The 20,518-nt window shown below is 39.1% G+C and overlaps 1 protein-coding gene across 14 annotated transcripts in view, besides 1 other annotated feature; it reads left to right on the top strand.

Moving 5' to 3' along the window:
- JMJD1C (jumonji domain containing 1C) overlaps window positions 1-20,518 on the top strand; it is a 354,666-nt gene that overhangs the window by 323,461 nt on the left and 10,687 nt on the right. For 12 of the 14 annotated variants that reach the window (XM_017015897.2, NM_001322258.2, NM_001318154.2 and 9 more), the window contains 10 exons: window positions 867-1,019; window positions 4,055-4,144; window positions 4,958-5,085; window positions 5,279-5,492; window positions 7,322-7,536; window positions 8,984-9,262; window positions 12,047-12,215; window positions 12,777-12,867; window positions 13,692-13,822; window positions 14,861-14,983. In XM_017015897.2, the coding sequence (XP_016871386.1) occupies window positions 867-1,019; window positions 4,055-4,144; window positions 4,958-5,085; window positions 5,279-5,492; window positions 7,322-7,536; window positions 8,984-9,262; window positions 12,047-12,215; window positions 12,777-12,867; window positions 13,692-13,822; window positions 14,861-14,983 (1,593 nt within the window). Of the gene's footprint in view, window positions 1-866; window positions 1,020-4,054; window positions 4,145-4,957; window positions 5,086-5,278; window positions 5,493-7,319; window positions 7,537-8,983; window positions 9,263-12,046; window positions 12,216-12,776; window positions 12,868-13,691; window positions 13,823-14,860; window positions 14,984-20,518 lie in introns of those variants that run through there. The other 2 variants (NR_134512.2, XM_047424775.1) reach the window with 2 other exon arrangements.
- Window positions 17,577-17,773: a silencer, noted in NCBI's record as "fragment chr10:64940417-64940613 (GRCh37/hg19 assembly coordinates)". NCBI's record gives its function as "represses an EF-1alpha promoter that drives an FKBP-Casp9 reporter gene in an ReSE screen in K562 erythroleukemia cells {active_cell/tissue: K562}" and the evidence as "EXISTENCE:reporter gene assay evidence [ECO:0000049][PMID:32094911]".

Raw genomic sequence — 20,518 nt, 5'->3', positions numbered from 1 at the left:
AATCTTATCTAACCTTGATTTTTAATTATGATAATGATACCTTTTTACAGTATGTATTTAAGGTTACAGATACTTTCCTATAGAGGGTGAATTGAGTCAATTAACCATTTGTGAAATCACAATAGCATTTTGCTGTTTCTGCCATTACAACATTAAGTTAATGTGTTAAACCCACTTTAGAAATTGTGAAATTTCAGCATTTGGCTTATAAAGACATAATCTACCCCAATTATTTGTATTGGAATCTCAGCTTTACTCCCTAACTGTTACCTTTGGCAAATAACCTCTCTGGATATCAGGCAGGTCTGGAAAATAGGAAAGATAACTATCTCATTAATTTGTTTAGAAAGTAGTTATGTTAATTATGTTTACTTAAGTACTTAATAGTTCCTAACATAGTAGATGCTCTAAATATTAGCTTCTTTTCCTTCCCTTCCTTGAAATCACTGGTTTGCCCCTCAGGGGACACTTAGCAATGACTGGAGACATCTTTGGTTGCATAACTGAGGGAGTTAAGGATATGTTGCCAACATCTGATAGGTAGAGGCTACAGATGCCTCTGAACAGTCTGCAATGCACAGAGTAATCCCTCCCAACAAAGAATTATTCAACCTAAAATGTCAAAAGTACCAGAGTTGAGAAACCCTGCTTAGATGTACGGCATTTTTATTTTTCACTTAATGATCATTTATGGGTCTTCTAAAGAGAATTACAAATTACTTCAAGAAAGCTATTGGTCTTCAGTTAATATAGCCTTGAAAGTTCTTGGTTTGCCTTTACATTTTTATTTCTTCTGTATTTCAGCCAAAATTGCCTTGGAAAAGAGCATGTTTGCCTTTAAAATTTTTGTTTTTTCTGTATTTCAGCCAAAATTGCCTGGAAAAGAGCAGTGAGAGGAGTCCGGGAGATGTGTGATGCATGTGAAGCAACATTGTTTAACATTCACTGGGTCTGCCAAAAATGTGGATTTGTGGTCTGCTTAGATTGTTACAAGGCAAAGGAAAGGAAGAGTTCTAGAGGTTGGTGTATAAGTTTATATAAATTGAAGTTTTTTATAATTTTTCTTTAGGATCACTCTTCTAGAACATGAGATGTGTTTTTTTATTCCTACTTTCCTTATTAATGTATTAAGTATTTTTTTTCAGTTTGTTTTTAAGAGGAGAAGTAACCACAGTTTATTAACGGCTATATTTTCTAGAATTAAATTGCATCTACACCCATCAGCCTCATGAGTATATCCATCTTCTCATTTCAGTCAGATAGTTCCTTAATGTAGCCCAAATTTAGGTTAGGCCTTGTTGCTTTAAGATTCCAGTGTGTGGGCCGGGCACTGTGGCTCATGCCTGTAATCTCAGCACTTTGGGAGGCCAAGGCTGGCTTCCAAAGATTGCTTGAACCCAGGTGTTCAAGACCAGCCTGGGCAACATGGCAAAACCCCCATCTCTACAAAAAAAAAATACAAAAAATGAGCTGCGCATGGTGGTGTGTTCCTGTAGTCCCAATTACCTGGGAGGCTGAGGTGGGAGGATCACCTGAACCCAGGAGATGGAGGCTGCAGTGAACTGTGATTGCCCCATTGCACTCCAGCCTGGGTGACACAGTGATACCCTGTCTCAGAAAGGAAGTAATTAAATGAATCAAAAGTGTTTTAGAAAGATTATCCAAGGCAATTTTGGAAGTGACTACCTAAAGCTGGTATTGAATTTTTTGTTAGGAGTAGAGTTCTGATGAAATAAGAGGATTAATATTGTGGAAACATTAGAAGTACTTAGTATAGATTGTCTGTCTCAAAGTAATGAGTGTCATTTTCATTTCAGGCCGCTCTTTTTTCAGAGTAGTGTATCAGGTAGATGAACCATGATTTAACCATCAGTATCTTCTACTGATAGGATTAACCAAAGTCTCTTACCCTTTCTTACCAAAGAAACCTGAGCAAATGTGGAAGCATAGCTGAACATCTACAGCTAAGTGTTTCTGGGATATGCAATAAATATGTTAATATGAGTAAAATGTGAAACCACAATACATGTATTTTGATATTTTCAATTGTTATAAAATTTGATGTAAGCTACCATAAATGCTTTTTTTGAATAAGATAAAGAATATTTATATTAAAAGTAAATTGTTGTATTGTTGATGATTTTCTTTCTCTTTTTCTTTTTCTTTTTTTTTTGGATGTTGTTGTTGAGACGGAGTTTCACTCTTGTTGCCCAGGCTGGAGTGCAGTGGCGCAATCTTGGCCTCCTGGATTCAAGTAATTCTCCTGCCTCAGCCTCCCGAGTAGCTGGGATTACAGGCATGTGCCACCATGCCTAATTTTGTATTTTTAGCAGAGACACGGTTTTACCAAGTTGGCCAGGCTGGTCTCAAACTCCTGACCTCAGCCTCCCAAAATGCTGGGATTACAGGCATGAGCCACCACGCCCAGCCTGCTGATTTTCATAGTAGTATTAATTTTGAAAGTATAGTCTTGTTACCGTATCATTCTTTTTTCTTTTTTTGAGACAGAGTCTCACTCTGTTGCCCAGGCTGGAGTGCAGTGGCGCAATCTCGGCTCACTGCAACCTCCATCTCCTGGGTTCACACCATTCTCCTGCCTAGTCTCTCCGAGTAGCTGGGACTACAGGCGCCTGCCACCAAGCCCAGCTAATTTTTTTGTATTTTTAGTAGGGACGGGTTTTCACCGTGGTCTCGATCTCCTGACCTCGTGATCGGCCCACCTCAGCCTCCCAAAGTGCTGGGATTACAAGCGTGAGCCACCATGCCTGGCCACTGTATCATTCTTTTAAGTGTAACTTATGCCTTGGGTTATTGTCCATACTATCTATATATCTATTTTACTGTTAAATATTATAATAAAACTCAGATTGAGTAGGTTTAATATATAGCTTCATGGAGTGGTAATCCACATAAGTGTCTAAAATATAAGCAATATATGAAATATTTGCAAGTTACCGTGTAGGTTTTGCAGAGGAAAGTCAAAGCTTTTAAAGGTAACTAGTTTTAGACTGGGTTTGAATTTTATTTAATGTATATTTTTATGAAACAATAGTTCTAGATTTTTTTTTTTTTTTTTGAGATGGTGTCTTGCTCTATCACCCAGGCTGGAGTGCAATGGCGCGATCTCGGCTTGCTGCAACCTGCACCTCCTGGAGTTCAAGTGATTCTCCTGCCTCAGCCTCCCAAGTAGCTGGGACTACAGGCATGTGTCACCACACCTGGCTAAATTTTTATTTTTAGTAAAAATGGGGTTTCACCATGTTGGCCAGGCTGGTCTTGAAGTCCTGACCTCAAGTGATCCGCTGCCTTGGCCTCCCAAAATGCTGGGATTACAGGTGTGAGCCACTGTGCCTGGTCTAGTTCTAGATTTTTTTATGCTGAATTTATTGAACTTTGTGACACTGAAACTCTTGTAGCCACGTCGTAAGTAGCTGTCTGTGTCACTAAATTTGTAGAGAAGGTTCTTGAGATCAAGGTATCAAATGCTTTTATTCTTTATGTTATGCCCTATGCTATGCCTTAATTCTTTACAACTTCAGGGATGAAACCTTATTTGAAGTCAGCAATAGCAGTTAATAGTAACTGTATGGTACCAGCTTTTTCACATGTCTCATGTTTCTCTACATGTCTTTGAAGCATAAGAGGAAAATGAATTAACAGTCATCTCAAACTGTGTCAGTCTGATGTACTAGGATCAGGCATAAATTCTGTTTGGCACAGAAAACAGCTAAGAGATAGAAGATTAGCTACAAAGATAGAGGTCACTAATAATAATGACTGGTAATTTTTAGAAAGGCTATCATTATATCCATTTTGTGTCAGTGTTTTTATAAAATCAGGAAATGGTGGAACTGTTTTTCCTGACTTGTTTCAGAACCAAACATCTAAAGCATATCATTGACATTTTATTTCATTATTTTTATTTTTTTCTTTTTCTCTTTGGCTGTGACTCTAGCCAACTATGAAACATTTTATATAATCGTTAAGTTCTTTACACTATCAATTTATAATTATGAAACCATGAGTGTGATATACAAGTTTTATTATCTTACAGATAAAGAACTATATGCTTGGATGAAGTGTGTGAAGGGACAGCCTCATGATCACAAACATTTAATGCCAACCCAAATTATACCTGGTTCTGGTAAGTATATCTTCTTCATGTAATATAACTGCTCTTGGTTGCTCCAGATTAAGGAAACACTTAAAGGAGTATCTAGAAATATAACAGGGTGGAGAGAGATTTAACTAGTTTTGAATTGTCTTGCTCAGTTATTGGAAATCCTCTATGTAATAAAGCTCAGAAGATAAGTCCAAGCCTCAGTGATGAAGAAAGTTCACCATTAGAAGTGGAAAGCTGGAGTGTAATGAAAAGGCCTATTGGATTTTTAATGAAAGCTTCTTATAATTTTTGAGCATATCTAATTTTTAATAAAGAGAGAAAAGAATAGAGAACATAAATTTGGCTGGGCGCAGTGGCTCACGCCTGTAATCCCAGCATTTTGGGAGGCCAAGGCCGGCGGATCACGAGGTCAGGAGATCGAGACCATCCTGGCTAACACAGTGAAACCCCGTTTCTACTAAAAATACAAAAAATTAGCCGGGCGTGGTGGCAGGTGCCTGTAGTCCCAGCTACTTGGGAGGCTGAGGCAGGAGAATGGCATGAACCTGGGGGGCGGAGCTTGCAGTGAGCCCAGATGGCGCCACTGCACTCCAGCCTGGGTGACAGAGCAAGACTCCGTCTCAAAAAAAAACAAAAAAACAAAAAAAACATAAATTTGGTTGAATAATCAAAACTGTAATAGATGGAAGAGAATGGAGAAAAATGGAAGAAATTTAAAGGGCACAAGAAAACCTCCGTTATTCCCAATTATAATACAAAATATTGTAAGAAAAAAATTTTACAGCATTAACAACTAGTGGTAATCTTTTTATTAACTACCATTTTATTTTGTAGTTTTGACAGATCTTCTAGATGCCATGCACACTCTTAGGGAAAAATATGGTATTAAATCCCATTGTCATTGTACTAACAAACAGAATTTACAAGTTGGAAATTTTCCTACAATGAATGGTGTATCTCAAGTGAGTAAAAATCTCTGGTTATTCAAATAAAATCTGTGGTTAAATTAGTCAACTTTGATATTTATTTGAAATTTGGTTTAGGACTTATGTATGAATTAGGTTTGCTGTGTTTCTGTGTAAATTTTTTGTATCTATACTACTAATTGAATTATTGAAGAAAGTGTTTAAAAATGTAATTGTTCTACCTTTGTAGGTTTTACAGAATGTTCTTAATCACAGTAATAAAATTTCTCTGTGCATGCCTGAGTCTCAGCAGCAAAATACTCCTCCGAAGTCTGAGAAAAATGGTGGCAGCAGCCCAGAGAGTGATGTAGGCACAGATAACAAGTTAACTCCTCCAGAATCCCAGTCACCACTGCACTGGTTAGCAGATCTTGCAGAGCAAAAAGCCAGAGAGGAAAAAAAAGGTAAACATAATTGATTATCTAGGCATGTGTGAGAGGAGTATAGTATAACTAACCAACAATGTACTATTGTACAATAAAGTACTGTTAATATTGAGGTAAACAATTTACTTTGGTCTTTTTCTTGAATTATGGGTTAGGTTCAATGTAAAACATTTTGTCTTCACTTATTAGGAACTAGCCTGTTGTTTTTTTGTTGTTTTTGTTTTTGTTTTTTTGAGACTATCACCCAGGCTGGAGTGCAGTGGCACAATCGTTGCTCACTGCAGCCTTGACCTCTCAGGCCCAGGCGATCCTCCCAGTTCAGCCTCCCAAATAGCTGATACTACAGACATGTACCACCATGCCTAATTTTCTTTTTAGGGGTCGGGGAGCACGGAGTTTTGCTCTTGTTGCCCAGTCTAGAGTGCAATGGCACGATCTTGGCTCACTGCAATCTCTGCCTCCCAGGTTTAAGTGATTGTCCTGCCTCAGCCTCCCAAGTAGATGGGACTAAAGGCATGCATCACCATGCCCAGCTAGTGTATATTTTTAGTAGAGACAGGGCGTCACCATGTTGACCAGGCTGGTCTCAAACTCCTGACTTCGGGTAATCCATCTGCCTAGGCTTCCCAAAGTGTTGGGATTACAGGTGTGAACCACCATGCCTGGCCAATTTTTTTTTTTTTTTTTTTTTTTTTTTAGTTTTTGTAGACATGAAGTTTCGCCATGTTGCCCAGATTGTTCTTGAACTCCTGGGCTCAAGCAGTCTACCTCGTCTTCCCAGAGTACTGGGATTACAGACATGAGCCACCATACCCAGCCTTAGCCTTCCTTTGACTACATATCAAAGTTAGTTACAGAATTGTTTGTGGATGAGCATATTGATATAGCCACCAGAGCACTAGAAGTGTAACTTACCTATGTCTTCTTTTTTGTTTTGTTTTTTGTGTTTTTTTTTTTTTTTTTTTTTTTTTTGAGACAGAGTCTCACTCTGTTGTCCAGGCTGGAGTGCAATGGCATGATCTCGGCTCACTGCAACCTCTGACTTCAGGTTCCAGCGATTCTTGTGCCTCAGCCTCCCAAGTAGCGGGGAGTACAGGCACGTGCCACAATGCCCAGCTGATTTTTATATTTTTAGTAGAGACAGGGTTTCAGCATGTTGGCCAGGTTGGTCTTGAACTCCTGACCTCAAGTGATCCGCCTGCCTCAGCCTCTCAAAGTGCTGGGATTACAGGTATGAGCCACCGCGCCCGGCCACTTACCTGTATTTTCTACCTGTCTTTGCTGTAGTGTTTTTCATTTGTAACAGGTGTAAACATGTCTTAAATATTGAGGAAGGCCTTTTTATATTTAGATTGTTTGAATCCATTTGGCCAAGCTGGTCTCAAACCTCACTCATCCTCAGGTTTGTGTTTAGGTGAATAAATCACAATGCTTCCTTCAGTTTTTATCTCACAGTAGAAAATGCTGGGGCCAGTTTTGTCTGTACTTTAGCACCATGCTTAATAGAATTAAAATTTGTAAGGGCTGCGCACAATGGCTCACGCCTGTAATCCCAGCAGTTTGGGAGGCCAAGGTGGGCAGATCATTTGAGGTCAGGAGTTCAAGACCAGCCTGACCAACATGATGAAACCCCGTCTCTACTAAAAATACAGAAAAATTAGCTGGGCCTGGTGGCACATGCCTGTAGTCCCAGCTACTTGGGAAGCTGAGACAGGAGAACCACTTGAACCTGGGAGGCAGAGGTTGCAGTGAGCCGAGGTCACGCCACTGCACTCCAGCCTGGGCGACAGAATGAGACTCCGTCTCAAAACAAAACAAAACAAAATCTGTGAAATTTTCTATTTCAGAAAACAAAGAACTTACCCTTGAAAACCAAATTAAAGAAGAAAGAGAACAAGACAACTCTGAATCTCCAAATGGCAGAACATCACCTCTTGTGTCCCAGAATAATGAACAAGGCTCAACCTTACGGGATTTGCTGACTACAACAGCTGGAAAGCTACGTGTGGGGTCTACAGATGCTGGCATTGCCTTTGCCCCAGTATATTCAATGGGAGCCCCAGTGAGTGATGCCAGATTTTTGGTTTTAATGTGGGCCTTAAATAGAGATGATTTGGAGACTTAGTTTTTGGCTCTGAACTACCCAGTATGCTGATGAAATCAAGTGTACCAAATTGCTAGGCATGTTTCTATTTGCATTATAACTCTCTTTACCTTGAAAGCTGGCATTTTCTGTCTTTTTTTCCAAGGTGAAAGGTGGAGGGGGGGTGCTCTTCGATTCCAGAAGGTCCCTAAGATACCCCTTTAGAATTTGGAAACTATTTGTCTAGTGAAGGGAAAAACCCACATGGAAGTGAATGTTGTATGTTACTTAAAATAATTAGAAGTCAAATTTTGCTTTAATTATTTACCAGGAAAAAAGAGCAGTATAATTTCTTTTAAAACTATATGGGGGGCCGGGTGCGGCGGCTCACACCTGTAATCCCAGCACTTTCGGAGACTGAGGCGGCTGGATCACGAGGTCAGGAGTTCAAGACCAGCCTGGCCAAGATGGTGAAACCTTGTCTCTACTAAAAATACAAAAGTTAGCCAGGTGTGGTGGCACGTGTCTGTAATCCCAGCTACTTGGGAGGCTGAGGCAGAGAATTGCTTAAACCCAGGAGGCGGAGGTTGCAATGAGCCGAGATCACGCCACTACACTCCAGCCTGGGCGACAGAGCGAGACTCCATCTCAAAAAAAATAAAAGTATATGGGGGCTGGGTGTGGTGGCTTACGCCTGTAATCCTAGCACTTTGGGAGGCTGACGTGGGCAGACCACCTGAGGTCAGGGGTTCGGGACCAGCCTGGCCAACAACATGGTGAAACCCTGTCTCTACTGAAAATACAAAAATTAGCCAGGCATGGTGCATGGTGATGCATGCTTGTAATCTCAACTATTTGGGAGTCTGAGACAGGAAAATCACTTGAATCTGGGAGGCGGAGCTTGTAGTGAGCTGAGATCACACCACTGCACTCTAGCCTGGGCAACAGAGTGAGACTCCCATCTCAAAAAAAAAAAAAAATGTGTATATATATATGGAGTATTGGGGGGTCAATCATGCCTGTAATCCTAGCACTTTGGGAGGCTGAGGTGGGAGGATTGCTTGAGCCCAGGAGTTTGAAACCAGCCTGAGCAACATAGCAAGACCCTCATCTCTATTTCTTATAAAATATTTAAAAATTTTAAAAAATGTATATGAGGGATGCCACCTACTTGTATTCTCTGTCCCAGGCCTATAACAATGTAAAAGACAGGAAGGCTGTACTTCTAAGTTTTTCAGACCTGGCAGTTCTCACACAACCAGACTTCTGGTTTGCATTTTGTCAGGAATATAGGAACTCAAATCTAAGAGAAGTGCATATTGTGGAGTGTAGGGATATTGTTTAAAAAAAAATAAGTCTGTGGGAGGAAAATGTATTTGATTTCTCTCAAAAACAGGTTTTTTTTGTTTTGTTTTTTCCTTAATAGAGTAGCAAAAGTGGACGGACTATGCCTAACATTCTTGATGACATAATTGCTTCAGTTGTTGAAAACAAAATTCCACCAAGTAAAACCTCCAAGATAAATGTAAAACCAGAGCTTAAAGAAGAGCCTGAAGAAAGCATAATATCTGCAGTGGATGAAAATAATAAATTATACAGTGATATACCACATTCTTGGATCTGTGAGAAGCATATTTTATGGCTTAAGGATTATAAGAATAGCAGTAATTGGAAGCTTTTCAAAGAATGTTGGAAACAAGGACAGGTGTGTATTTTAGGCTGATAAAGAACACTCTTGGTGGAACTGAAGCTTATTAAATAGAATGGTTCCCTCCTTAGGAATAGAAATGGAGGGGGGAAAAATAGTGGTTAACACATTTGGGGGACAATAAGATATAAAAGTACCGAAAAGATTGTCAGAATGCTTGTTTCTCAATTCCTGTTTTTTGGCCAGATTTAATATGAATTAATAGGGAAACGTTGATTATTTTATGTTACTTTTTGATCTATCAGAACAGACATGTAATAACGCCTTGAATTTACAAAATGCAGTTCCTTTCTCCTCTTTTTAGATTGGTATTTTAGTCCAGTTAGTAGATCCATGTCTACTATTAAAATATTAATATTGGCAGCATTTTTCATGAACCTATGTAGATGTTCTTATCTGTAATATTTATACACAGAACATTTACTTACAAATTAGTTCATCAAATCTTGAATGACAAACTATATTGTTTCATTCTCCTCTAATATAAATGATTTTGTTGGACAAAAGTTTTGATAATGTTTGATATACATTTCAGATGGCAATTTACTACATTAATGCAAAAATTATGAACAAATTAAGTGTTTGTATGACAGTATTCTGTTAAATTTATTGTTTTCTGGAAAATGTTTACTTTGTTTATTCAACAGTTATTGAGCATCTAATAAGAGACGCAGTCTCTGTCATAGGCAGTAAGAATATATAAAAATGAGTAAGCTATGTAAAAATGAGTAAGAACCATTTTAGTGCAATGCTGCTTGATCTTTTTAGGTTACTAATCCCTTTCAAAATCTGATGAAAGCTGAATCTTTCACCCCAAAAAAAGAAATGCACACTTGTGCATTGCATATACACAAGATTTAGCATGTCTTTTTTGCCTTGGTCTCCTTCAAGCCCTGATGACATTACTGGACTGAAATTTTATTTAATTTGTGTGAGCTTTTGAGGTAGAAAAGCGTCACACAAATAATTGTTTTCATAATTATGTGAAGTGTTTTAAGAACTTTGTTCAAGGTGCTATGAGAACCCAGAAAAGGAAATGTCAAAGCTAGGATACTAGTTCAAAAAGGCTAGTCTAAATTGATTCCTTAGAGGTTAAGTGAAGTTTTTTGCTAGGTGGACAAGAGGCTGGACATATACAAGAACATTAGGTGTTTTGGGAACTCTCTGAGTAGGTGTGATTATCTGCAATATACATGATGGTTCATGGGGGAGAGTGGTGTAAGGAGATGGCTAGAGGAATGATCATGAAATGCCCTTATATATCATGCTAAGGAGTTTTAACATTATACTCTAGGTGATAGTTTTAATTGTGGAATCTGTATAATCAAATTGACATTTTATAATAACTGACAGCAAGGCAGATTAGAAGTTGAGTTAGAAGAGAATAATACCATTGGCAAGGAGTCTAATCAGAAAGCTTTACAGGCCTGGTGCTGTGGCTCTTGCCTATAATCCCAACATTTTGGGAGGCCAAGGTGGGACGATTGATCGCTTCAGCCCAGGAGTTGGAGACCAGCCTGGGCAACATAGTGAGACCCTGTTTCTACCAAAAAATTTTAATTAGCCAGACGTGGTGGTTCACACCAGTAGTCCCAGCTACTTGGGAGGCTGAGGCAGGAAGATTGCTTTAGCCCAGTAAGTCCAGGCTGTGGTGAGCCATGATCATGCCACTGCACTTCAGCCTGGGCAACAAAGTGAAACCCTGTCTCCAAAAAAAGTAAAAAGATCATGGTGATAGCCTAAGATTTCTGCTTTGAATTATTCTGATACACTAATTAGCTTAACCCTTATCTTTTTTAAAAAATTTACTTTTAACAAGCTGCTGATTACCCTAATAGCAGCAATATTATTGGATAGATACTAGGCACTAGGAATTAATCTGTGAATTGCCAGCAAGAGTTAACTAATACCTGGACCTATTTTTAAAGTCGTATATATTATTGGCTCATTGAAAAAATGTTTAATGGAACATTCAACCATGTAGTAAACCAGAATTTAGGGTGTTTTTTCTTTTTAAAGATGTCTTTTGTAATTAAAAAAAAAATCTAGCTAGAGATTATTCTTTTGTGGTTCCTATATTTTAATTATGTTACAAGTTTAAGAATACTAATAATCACTTAAATTTTTTGTTTGTTTGTTTCTGGAGACAGGGTTTTGCTGTGTCTCCTAGGCAAGATACAAACTCGGGCTCAAGCAATCCTCCCAGCTCAGCCTTGGGAGCTGGGACTACAAGAATGCATTGCTACACCCAGCCTAGTAAATATCATTTTTCAGAAACTTTTAAGTCATAGCTTACTGTGTTCTCTATATTCCAGAATTCTGCTTCATTAGAGTACAGGAATTTGTTTAAAACCTGAGAATAATACATCAGATGTTCTTAGATATGTTTTTATATCATTTATTGTAGTTTTAGAAGCTGTAAATCTTCCATTACTGGTTTCTGCGTTATTAGAAAGCTATTAGGGAATTTGGGTGGAGAGGACATCTACCCTCCGCCACCAAGTGTAAGAAAGCTGTGAGGGAATTTGAATTTATGTAATTTCAAAGGAGACATTCACTTTCAGAGAATAACTCATTAGGCTCGAAATTTAATAGTTTCAGCTACTGAAGAGGCTGAGGTAGAAGGATTGATTGAGCCCAAAGGGTGACAGTCAGGTATGATGAGGCCACTGCTCTCCAGCCTGGGTAAGAGAGCAAGACTCTGTCTCAAACAAACAAACAAACAAACAAAAAAGAAAGTCTATATATCTTTTAACTGTTATTTATTTATCTATTTATAAGCCTGCAGTGGTTTCTGGTGTGCATAAGAAAATGAACATTAGCCTATGGAAGGCGGAATCAATTAGTCTTGATTTTGGAGACCACCAAGCTGATCTCCTGAACTGCAAAGATAGCATCATTTCAAATGCCAATGTTAAGGAATTCTGGGATGGTTTTGAAGAAGTTTCAAGTATGTTGGTTTTTATTTTACTATTTTCTCCATCATACTCCTTCAAAATGATAAATTCCAAATGTAACTTAACAGATTTTTAGTCTTTGAAACATCTGTTTTATGTTGTCTAATAAAAAGAAACAAGTAATTGGAAACAAAATACTGGGTCCTAATCCCTATTTCTAGCACTAATTTCCTTTGACCTTAAAGATGCCGTTTATACTGTTTTGCTTATGGAGAAATGTTTGGCAGTTCCATAAGCTTTTGAAAATGGAATTATTTATGTAAAACTCTTTGAAAATTAAAAGTGTAGATGTAAGATTGTGATGTTACCAAGATTTTTAAAAACAACTTTTGAGATATTACAAGTGGGTAATTTAATGAATTCTATTCATGTACAAAAGGAACAAAGGTTTTAATACTACATAAGTACATAAGTAATAAGTCAATAAGCAAGCAATCATTAAGCATGTAATGTGCAACAATCAAATCATTCATTCATTTACGTTTCTTTCCAAATGTTAATAAAGATAAAAAGGCAGAAATTACCCTTTTAGTAATTAACTGCATTCCTTATAGAACGGCAGAAAAACAAGAGTGGAGAAACAGTTGTTTTAAAATTGAAAGACTGGCCTTCAGGAGAAGACTTCAAGACTATGATGCCAGCAAGGTTTGAAACTTTTCATTTTGACTCTTGACTTTTTGAGATCGAGCTAAGACTGTCCCCAGAGATAGGATAAGTAACCGTAAATGTGACCTGTAGGCTTTTTCTTTCTCAATTAAAAATAAATAACTTGAGGCTGAGCGTCATAGTGGCTCACGCCTATAATCCCAGCACTTTGGGAGGCCAAGGCGAGGGGATCGCTGGAGTCCAAGACTTGGAGATCAGTCTGGCCAACATGACAAAACCTTATCTCTACAAAAAAATACAAAAATTAGCCAAGCATGGTGGCAGGCATCTGTAGTCCCAGCTACTTGCGTGGCTGAGGTGAGAGGATCACTGGAGTGGAGGAAGTGGAGGCTGCAGTGAGCTGAGATCGTGCCACTGAACTCCAGCCTGGGTGACAGAGTGAGACCTTGTCTGATGGATTGATTGATAGCAAAACTGAGTTGGTAGCCTCAGCAGTGGGAAAATCTTTATGTTAGGACAGTGAAGGAAAGAATGTTCATGTTAAAGAGGCTGGGCACGGTGGCTCACGCCTGTGATACCAGCACTTTGGGAGGCTGAGGCGGGCAACAAGAGTGAAACTTTGTCTCAAAAAAAGAGAACACAGGACCCTGTTTAGGACCTCCCTTCTATTGGAGCTTTTTAATGGTTTAATGGTTAGAGAAGCAGAATTGCTATTTTAGTCAGTATCACTTGAGTCAAGGAAAATTGTTACCTGTCTTATGGAAAGGTAGTCTGCTGTTTTGAACAACTTGAAAATTATATATGTGAAAATACTTAGCAATGCAAATCTTTATTTATAAGAAGGCAATGTTGTTTTTCTTCAGATACGAAGATCTTTTAAAAAGTCTGCCATTGCCAGAATATTGTAATCCAGAAGGAAAATTCAATTTGGCCTCTCATTTGCCAGGATTTTTTGTACGTCCTGATCTAGGACCCAGGTTGTGCAGTGCCTATGGTAGGTATATATTCACATTTCTCCCATGTAGGAATTATATTGGATTTTTTAAAATTTTTGCTCAGGCCGGGCATAGTGGCTCACGCCTGCAATCCCAGCACTCTTTGGGAGGCTAAGGCGGGTGAATCACGAGGTCAGGAGATTGAGACCATCCTGGTCAACATGGTGAAACCCTGTCTCTACTAAAAAATACAAAAATTAGCCAGGTGTGGTGGCGTGCGCCTATAGTCCCAGCTACTCAGGAGGCTGAGGCAGGAGAATTACTTGAACCCAGGAGGCGTGGAGGTTGCAGTGAGCTGAGATTGCACTACTGCACTCCAGCCTGGGCAACAGAGCAAGACTCCGTCTCAAAAAAAAAAAAAAAAAAATTTCTGTTCAAGGATGGGCGTGGTGGCCCATGCCTGTAATCCCAGCACTTTGGGAGGTCAAGGTGGGTGGGTGGATCATGAGGTTAAGAGATTGAGACCACCCTGGCTGACATGGTGAAACCCCATCTCTACTAAAAATAGAAAAATTAGCTGGGTGTGGTAGCGTGTACCTGTAGTCCCAGCTATCAGGAGGCTGAGGCAGGAGAATTGCTTGAACCCGGGAGGTGGAGGTTGCAGTGAGTCGAGATCATGCCACTGCACTCCAGCCTGGCAACAGAGCGAGACTCCTTCTCAAAAAAAGAATTACTGTTCCTACAAATTGTCTAATGATTTTTAGTTTCTACTAAATCTGTTCCTTTAATCCATCGAAACCCTTTTTTATATGAAGCAACATGTTAGGAATTAACAGCCAATATATAGTTAAGTACCTGCTTATTGATTTTTTATTTATTTGATTTTTAATCATAGTACATTTTATTATAGAAATGTAATTATTCAAATAATAGGGTCTTTTATAGATTGTGGCTTTTGGAACAGGTTTTTGTAATAAGGAAACTAAAACTCAAATTACAATTAAATTATGCAGATCGAGCTAATTTGGGGGAATATCTGATTATGCTATTACATATATATAAATATTTTGTCAAGTAAAATTTTGTTTTATATACAGGTGTAGTTGCTGCTAAAGATCATGATATAGGAACAACAAATCTCCATATTGAAGTTTCTGATGTTGTAAATATACTAGTTTATGTTGGCATAGCAAAAGGAAATGGCATTCTCTCAAAAGCAGGTAAACTTAAAAGAATAAGTAGTCTTTGAAATAAGAGTTGAATAATCACATTCACTAGTATTGTCCAGAATATCAGCTTCTGAGTTAACAGCGAAGATTTCAAAAAGAATTGCAATGGATGTAGGGGCATTTTAGCCCTTATTACTTGAAGATTGAATAATTTTCCTATTTCTTTTTATGTAAGTGAAATTTTAATTTTAAAATTGAATATTTTAACTTCTTTTCTATCATTAAGTATTGTGTTGATGAAAATACACCATTAAGCGCACTTGTAAACATTTATTGAGGCTGGGCGCAGTGGCTCACACCTGTAATCTCAGTACTTTGGGAGGCCAAGGCAGGTGAATCACTGGAGGTCAGGAGTTCAAGACCAGCCTGACCAACATGCTATAACCCTGTCTCTACTAAAAATACAAAATTAGCTGGGTGTGGTGGTGCATGCCTGTAATCTCAGCTGCTCAGGAGGCTGAGGCAGGAGAATCGCTTGAACCCAGGAGGCGGAGGTTGCGGTGAGCCAAGATAGTGCCATTGCACTCCAGCCTGGGCAACAAGAGCAAAACTCCATCTCAAAAAAAACCAAAAAATGAACAAACAAAAAAAATTTATTGAAGAATAGGAACTAATTCTTAGGGTTCTAAAGATGGTTAAAATATGGTTTGTGACTCAAACATTCTTTTTTCCCCTCCAGTAAAAAGAGGAAGAAGGGGGTCTTTTCTCTTTCTATCCAGTATATAGGTTTTCATTTCTGTGCCCTCAATTTCTTTCTGAAACCATGGTGTCAGTTATTCCCTTCTTTACAAAGACATAGATACAGTCATAGGCCTTTAACGTTTTCTTCTCCATTGGCTTTTTCTCTGTACAATAGAAGCAGAGTCTAAGATGATTTTTTCTTTCTCGAAAGAAAGCCTCCTTTAAACCTTTCCATCCTATTGGTTCTACCCTCATAAGAAATATTTTACCATCTTTGTCACTTTCCTTTTACATTTCAGCTCATTGCAGTCTTATTCCATACTGGTCTGAAATTTACTATTGCTACTGCTGTCACTCACACGTATTTGGATAATTCAGTGTATCTTTCTGGTTCGTTTATTACTCACCCCTGTCTATAATGAATGGCACCGTTAATCACAACCTCTTTGAATATAGTTCTCTGCTTCTGTGATACCACTTCTGATTCTGACACCTTATGGAGTTGGAGGCTTCTTCGGAGTTTCAGATGTTCGCTACCTTTTCTACTTCACATGCACTTTCTGTGAAATTCTGTGGATGACATCCAGCCATGAAATAGATCACCAGTTGTATATCTGGATCCCAGATTGGAGCTTAATGGCTAGGTGCTGGGGACATGGGATTCATTATAGTATTCACTCTACTTTTGTGTACATTTGACAATTTTATAATACACAACCTAAAATCCCTCAAAACTGTAGAAACTCATTTTTACATTATGCTACTCAGCTTTTTAACTGACACTATTGACTATAATAGGTAACCACCCCTATCCCCCAGAGATTTGAGAGTCAGTGGGCACACTTGAGTTATTGTCTGAGCGCTGCCACAGAAATGTGACCTGTAGTTCAGATTATTTATCCTTTCTAATCCTGTGATGCCATGGAGTTACATCCTTTGTATCTCATTGTAGTTTGTTCAGATCTTTCCCTGTAGCACTTAGAAGTTAACCTGCTTTCCTCCATTACTATTCATTCATGTCCTTAAAAGCTAGAACTTTCTTCCTCATCTTTGTTTATGCATATCCCCCAGCTTCTGTTCCTAGCATATTTCTTTCGAGAAAATTTCAGGAGAATTTCAACATTTTAAATAATCCTTTTGCTCTCTTTCTTTATCTAAAAAGTTTTTGTCACTTTTTATAGGTGGTCACAAAGCAACATTTTAGGGTTATAATAATGTTTCAAACACATTGAAAAATACTTAAAAGATCATGATTTTTTTCTCCATCTGCCATGTGTCTTTTAGCTCCATGTCTTCCTGGCAAACTTCTGTATTCATTCTTTCAATTGTAACTCAGATTATCATTCACCCTAGAAGTCTTCATTAAAGAAAGTAAACTTACTATGCTCTAGCCAGTCATTCTCTTTATTATGATGCCTCCCCCGCCTCATGTACTTGTTATTTTAATTTGCAGAGCAGTAAAATTTAAAGGAAAAATGTCAGAAAACCAATTTAAAGTTTCCAGCTTTTAATTTTGTTAAGAAAACAGATTTTAGAAACATCAACTGTCATTTTTTAAAGAGAACATTTCAAACTCTCTATAAGAAAGATAAGCCAGGCACGGTGGCTCATGCCTGTAATCCCAACACTTTGGGAGGCTGAGGTGGGTGGATCACTTGAAGTCAGGAGTTTGAGACCAGCTAGCCAACGTAGTGAAACCCAGTCTCTATTAAAAATACAAAAATTATTTGGGAGGCCGAGGCGGGCGGATCACGAGGTCAGGAGATCGAGACCATCCCAGCTAAAACGGTGAAACCCCGTCTCTACTAAAAATACAAAAAATTAGCCGGGCGTAGTGGCGGGCGCCTGTAGTCCCAGCTACTTGGGAGGCTGAGGCAGGAGAATGGCGTGAACCCGGGAGGCGGAGCTTGCAGTGAGCCGAGATCCCGCCACTGCACTCCAGCCTGGGCGACAGAGCGAGACTCCGTCTCAAAAAAAAAAAAAAAAATTAGCTGTGCATGGTGGTGTATGCCTGTAATCCTAGCTACTTGGGAGGCTGAGGCAGGAGAATTGCTTGAACCTGGGAGGCAGAAGTTGCAGTAAGCCAAGATGGTGCCACTCTACTCCATCCTGGGTGACACAGCAAAACTCCATCTCAAACAAACAAACAAACAAAAAGATACCAGAGTAAAGGATGATTTTTTTATGTTCAACTTTTTACATTGCCCTTAATTTTTTTGTTTTACCATGACTGGGAAAAGACTTTGTCACAGATAACATTGGAGGACTTAACCTGTCTCTGTACCCTTTGTACTGATGTGATTGCACTTACCACAATGTGATGTTTATTTGTCTAGATTTATTAGGACCCTCTTTAACTCCATGAGCTCTTGAATGGATCTTTCTTAATTCTAATTCCCAACTTCCTAGGACAGTGCCTCGCACATAGTAAACACTTACCAAATGTTTCAATTAGCAGTGGCTCACGCCTGTAATCCCAGCACTTTGGGAGGCCAAGGTGGTGGATCACCTGATGTCAGGAGTTCGAGACCAGCCTGGCCAACATATAGTGAAACCCCATCTGTAGTTAAAAAATAGAAAAATTAGCTGGGCATGGTGGCGGGTGCCTGTAGTCCCAGCTACTTGGGAAGCTGAGACAGGAGAATCGCTTGAACCTGGGAGGCAGAGGTTGCAGTGAGCCGAGATTGTGCCACTGTGCCCCAGCACTTCAGCCTGGGCGACAGAGTGAGACTGTGTCTCGAAAAATAAAAGAAAAAAAGAAAAAAATATGTTTGCAGCTAAGTTTGAATATAAAATAGACATTACTGTCACAAATTAGGAAACATCTGATATATACTTTGTAGCAGGTAACAGCTTTCTTTAAAAAGTTTATACAAGTGATAACATATTTGACTTTCTGAGTTTTTTTGCTCAAGATAATGGCTTCTAGTTCCATCCATGTTGCTGCAAAAGACATGATTTTTTTTTTTTTTTCTTTTTTAAAGATAGGGTCTCCTTGCTCTGTTGCCCAGGCTGGAGTGCAGTGGTACAGACTCAGCTCACTGCAGCTTCAACCTCCTGGACTCAAAAGATCCTCCCACCTCAGCCACCAGAGTAGCTGGGACTACAGACAGGCGCCACCATGCCTGGCTAACTTTTTTATTTTTTTGTAAAGACGGGTTTTACCATGTTACTCAGGCTGGTCTCAAACTCCTGGGCTCAAGTGATCCACTCACCTCAACCTCCCAAAGTGCTGGAGTTACAGATGTGAGCCACCTACCCAGCAGTGATTTCATTTTTATGGCTAAATAGTATTCCATTGTGTATGTATATCACATTTTCTTTTTTTCTTTTTTCTTTTTTTTTTTGAGATGGAGTTTTGCTCTTGTTGCCCAGGCTGGAGTGCAATGGCGTGATCTTGGCTCACCGTAACCTCCACCTCCTGGGTTCAAGCGATTCTCCTTCCTCAGCCTCCCTAGTAGCTGGGATTACAGGCATGTGCCACCACACCCAGCTAATTTTGTATTTTTAGTAGAGATGGGGTTTCTTCATGTTGGTCAGGCTAGTCTCGAACTCCTGACCTCAGGTGATCCGCCTGCCTCGGCCTCCCAAAGTGCTGGGATTACAGGTGTAATCCCACGCCCGGCCACACATTTTCTTTATCCAGTCATCCGTGGATGGACACTTAAGTTGATTCCTTATCCTGATAGACATTGGAGATTCAGAGGATGGTGGTTAACAGGGGTGGGTAATGAGAAATTATTTAGTAGATACAATGTACATTATTCAGGTGATGATAACTAAAAGCCAAGACATCACCGCTAGGCAATATATCCATGTAACAAAAATTGCAGTTGTACCCCTTAAATTTATACAAAATTTTTAAAAAGAATATTTATTTAAATGTTCACTGGTCCTTTTAAAAAAGGACCTTCCTGTGGTCCTACACTTAGAGACAACTAGTTACTATTTTTGTTTGTACACTTCTAAAGTTTTTTTCTGTACATACATACGTGTAGGAATTTTAGTTTGTCAACATTTTAGAAGGATGGCTTGATTTTCCTCAAAACCACAACTTTGTTCGTGAAACATTTGCATTTGATTACAGATTAACCATTATCAAATATGAGAGCACCTCGAAATTAATCAGAATACATTTTGTCCTGCCGTTCATTAGTCATGGTAATGAGTAAAACCTTTCACCTCATGGAACCTTTTTACTCAGGTATAAAATAGAGGTTATCCCTTATTCTTAAGTAAGTATAGGGGCCAACTAATAAATAGTGAGCATAAAAGACCTTTGTAAGTTAGGAAATGCTATGAGTACAAGTCATTGTTAGGACCACCCCCTTGGAACAGGGAAGGAAGGTGGTTAAATTTTACATAGTTGCTCTTAGGTTTTCTATCTCCTGCTTCTTGGTTTGCATAAAACAAACTGGGAAAATCACTATTGCTTTGTATCCACTTATCTATTCTTGTAGTCCTAAAAGTTATGAACATATAACTGTGTTTGACTCTTTTTTAAGAGTACTGATCTGGCCAGGGACAGTGTCTCATGCCTGTAATCCTAGCACTTTGGGAGGCCCAAGCAGGTGGATTGCCTGAGCTCAGGAGTTCAAGACCAGCCTGGGCAACATGGTGAAACCCCACGGCTACTAAAATACAAACAATTAGTCGGGTGTGACAGCTTGCACCTGTAGTCCCAGCTACTTGAGAGGCTGAGGCAAGAGAATTGCTTGAACCTGGGAGGCGGAAGCTGCAGTGAGCCAAGATCATGCCACTGCACTCCAGCCTGGGTGACCAAAAAAGAAAAAGTACTGATCCTAGTCAGGCACTCTGCTGCTCTGATAGATCAACTTTAGGAGA

The sequence above is a fragment of the Homo sapiens genome, chromosome 10, assembly GCF_000001405.40.
Source record: "Homo sapiens chromosome 10, GRCh38.p14 Primary Assembly".
In the NCBI taxonomy this organism is placed as follows: Eukaryota; Metazoa; Chordata; class Mammalia; order Primates; family Hominidae; genus Homo; species Homo sapiens.
The sequence above is the reverse complement of the archived record's forward strand: the minus strand, read 5'-3'. Positions and strand labels throughout refer to the sequence as shown.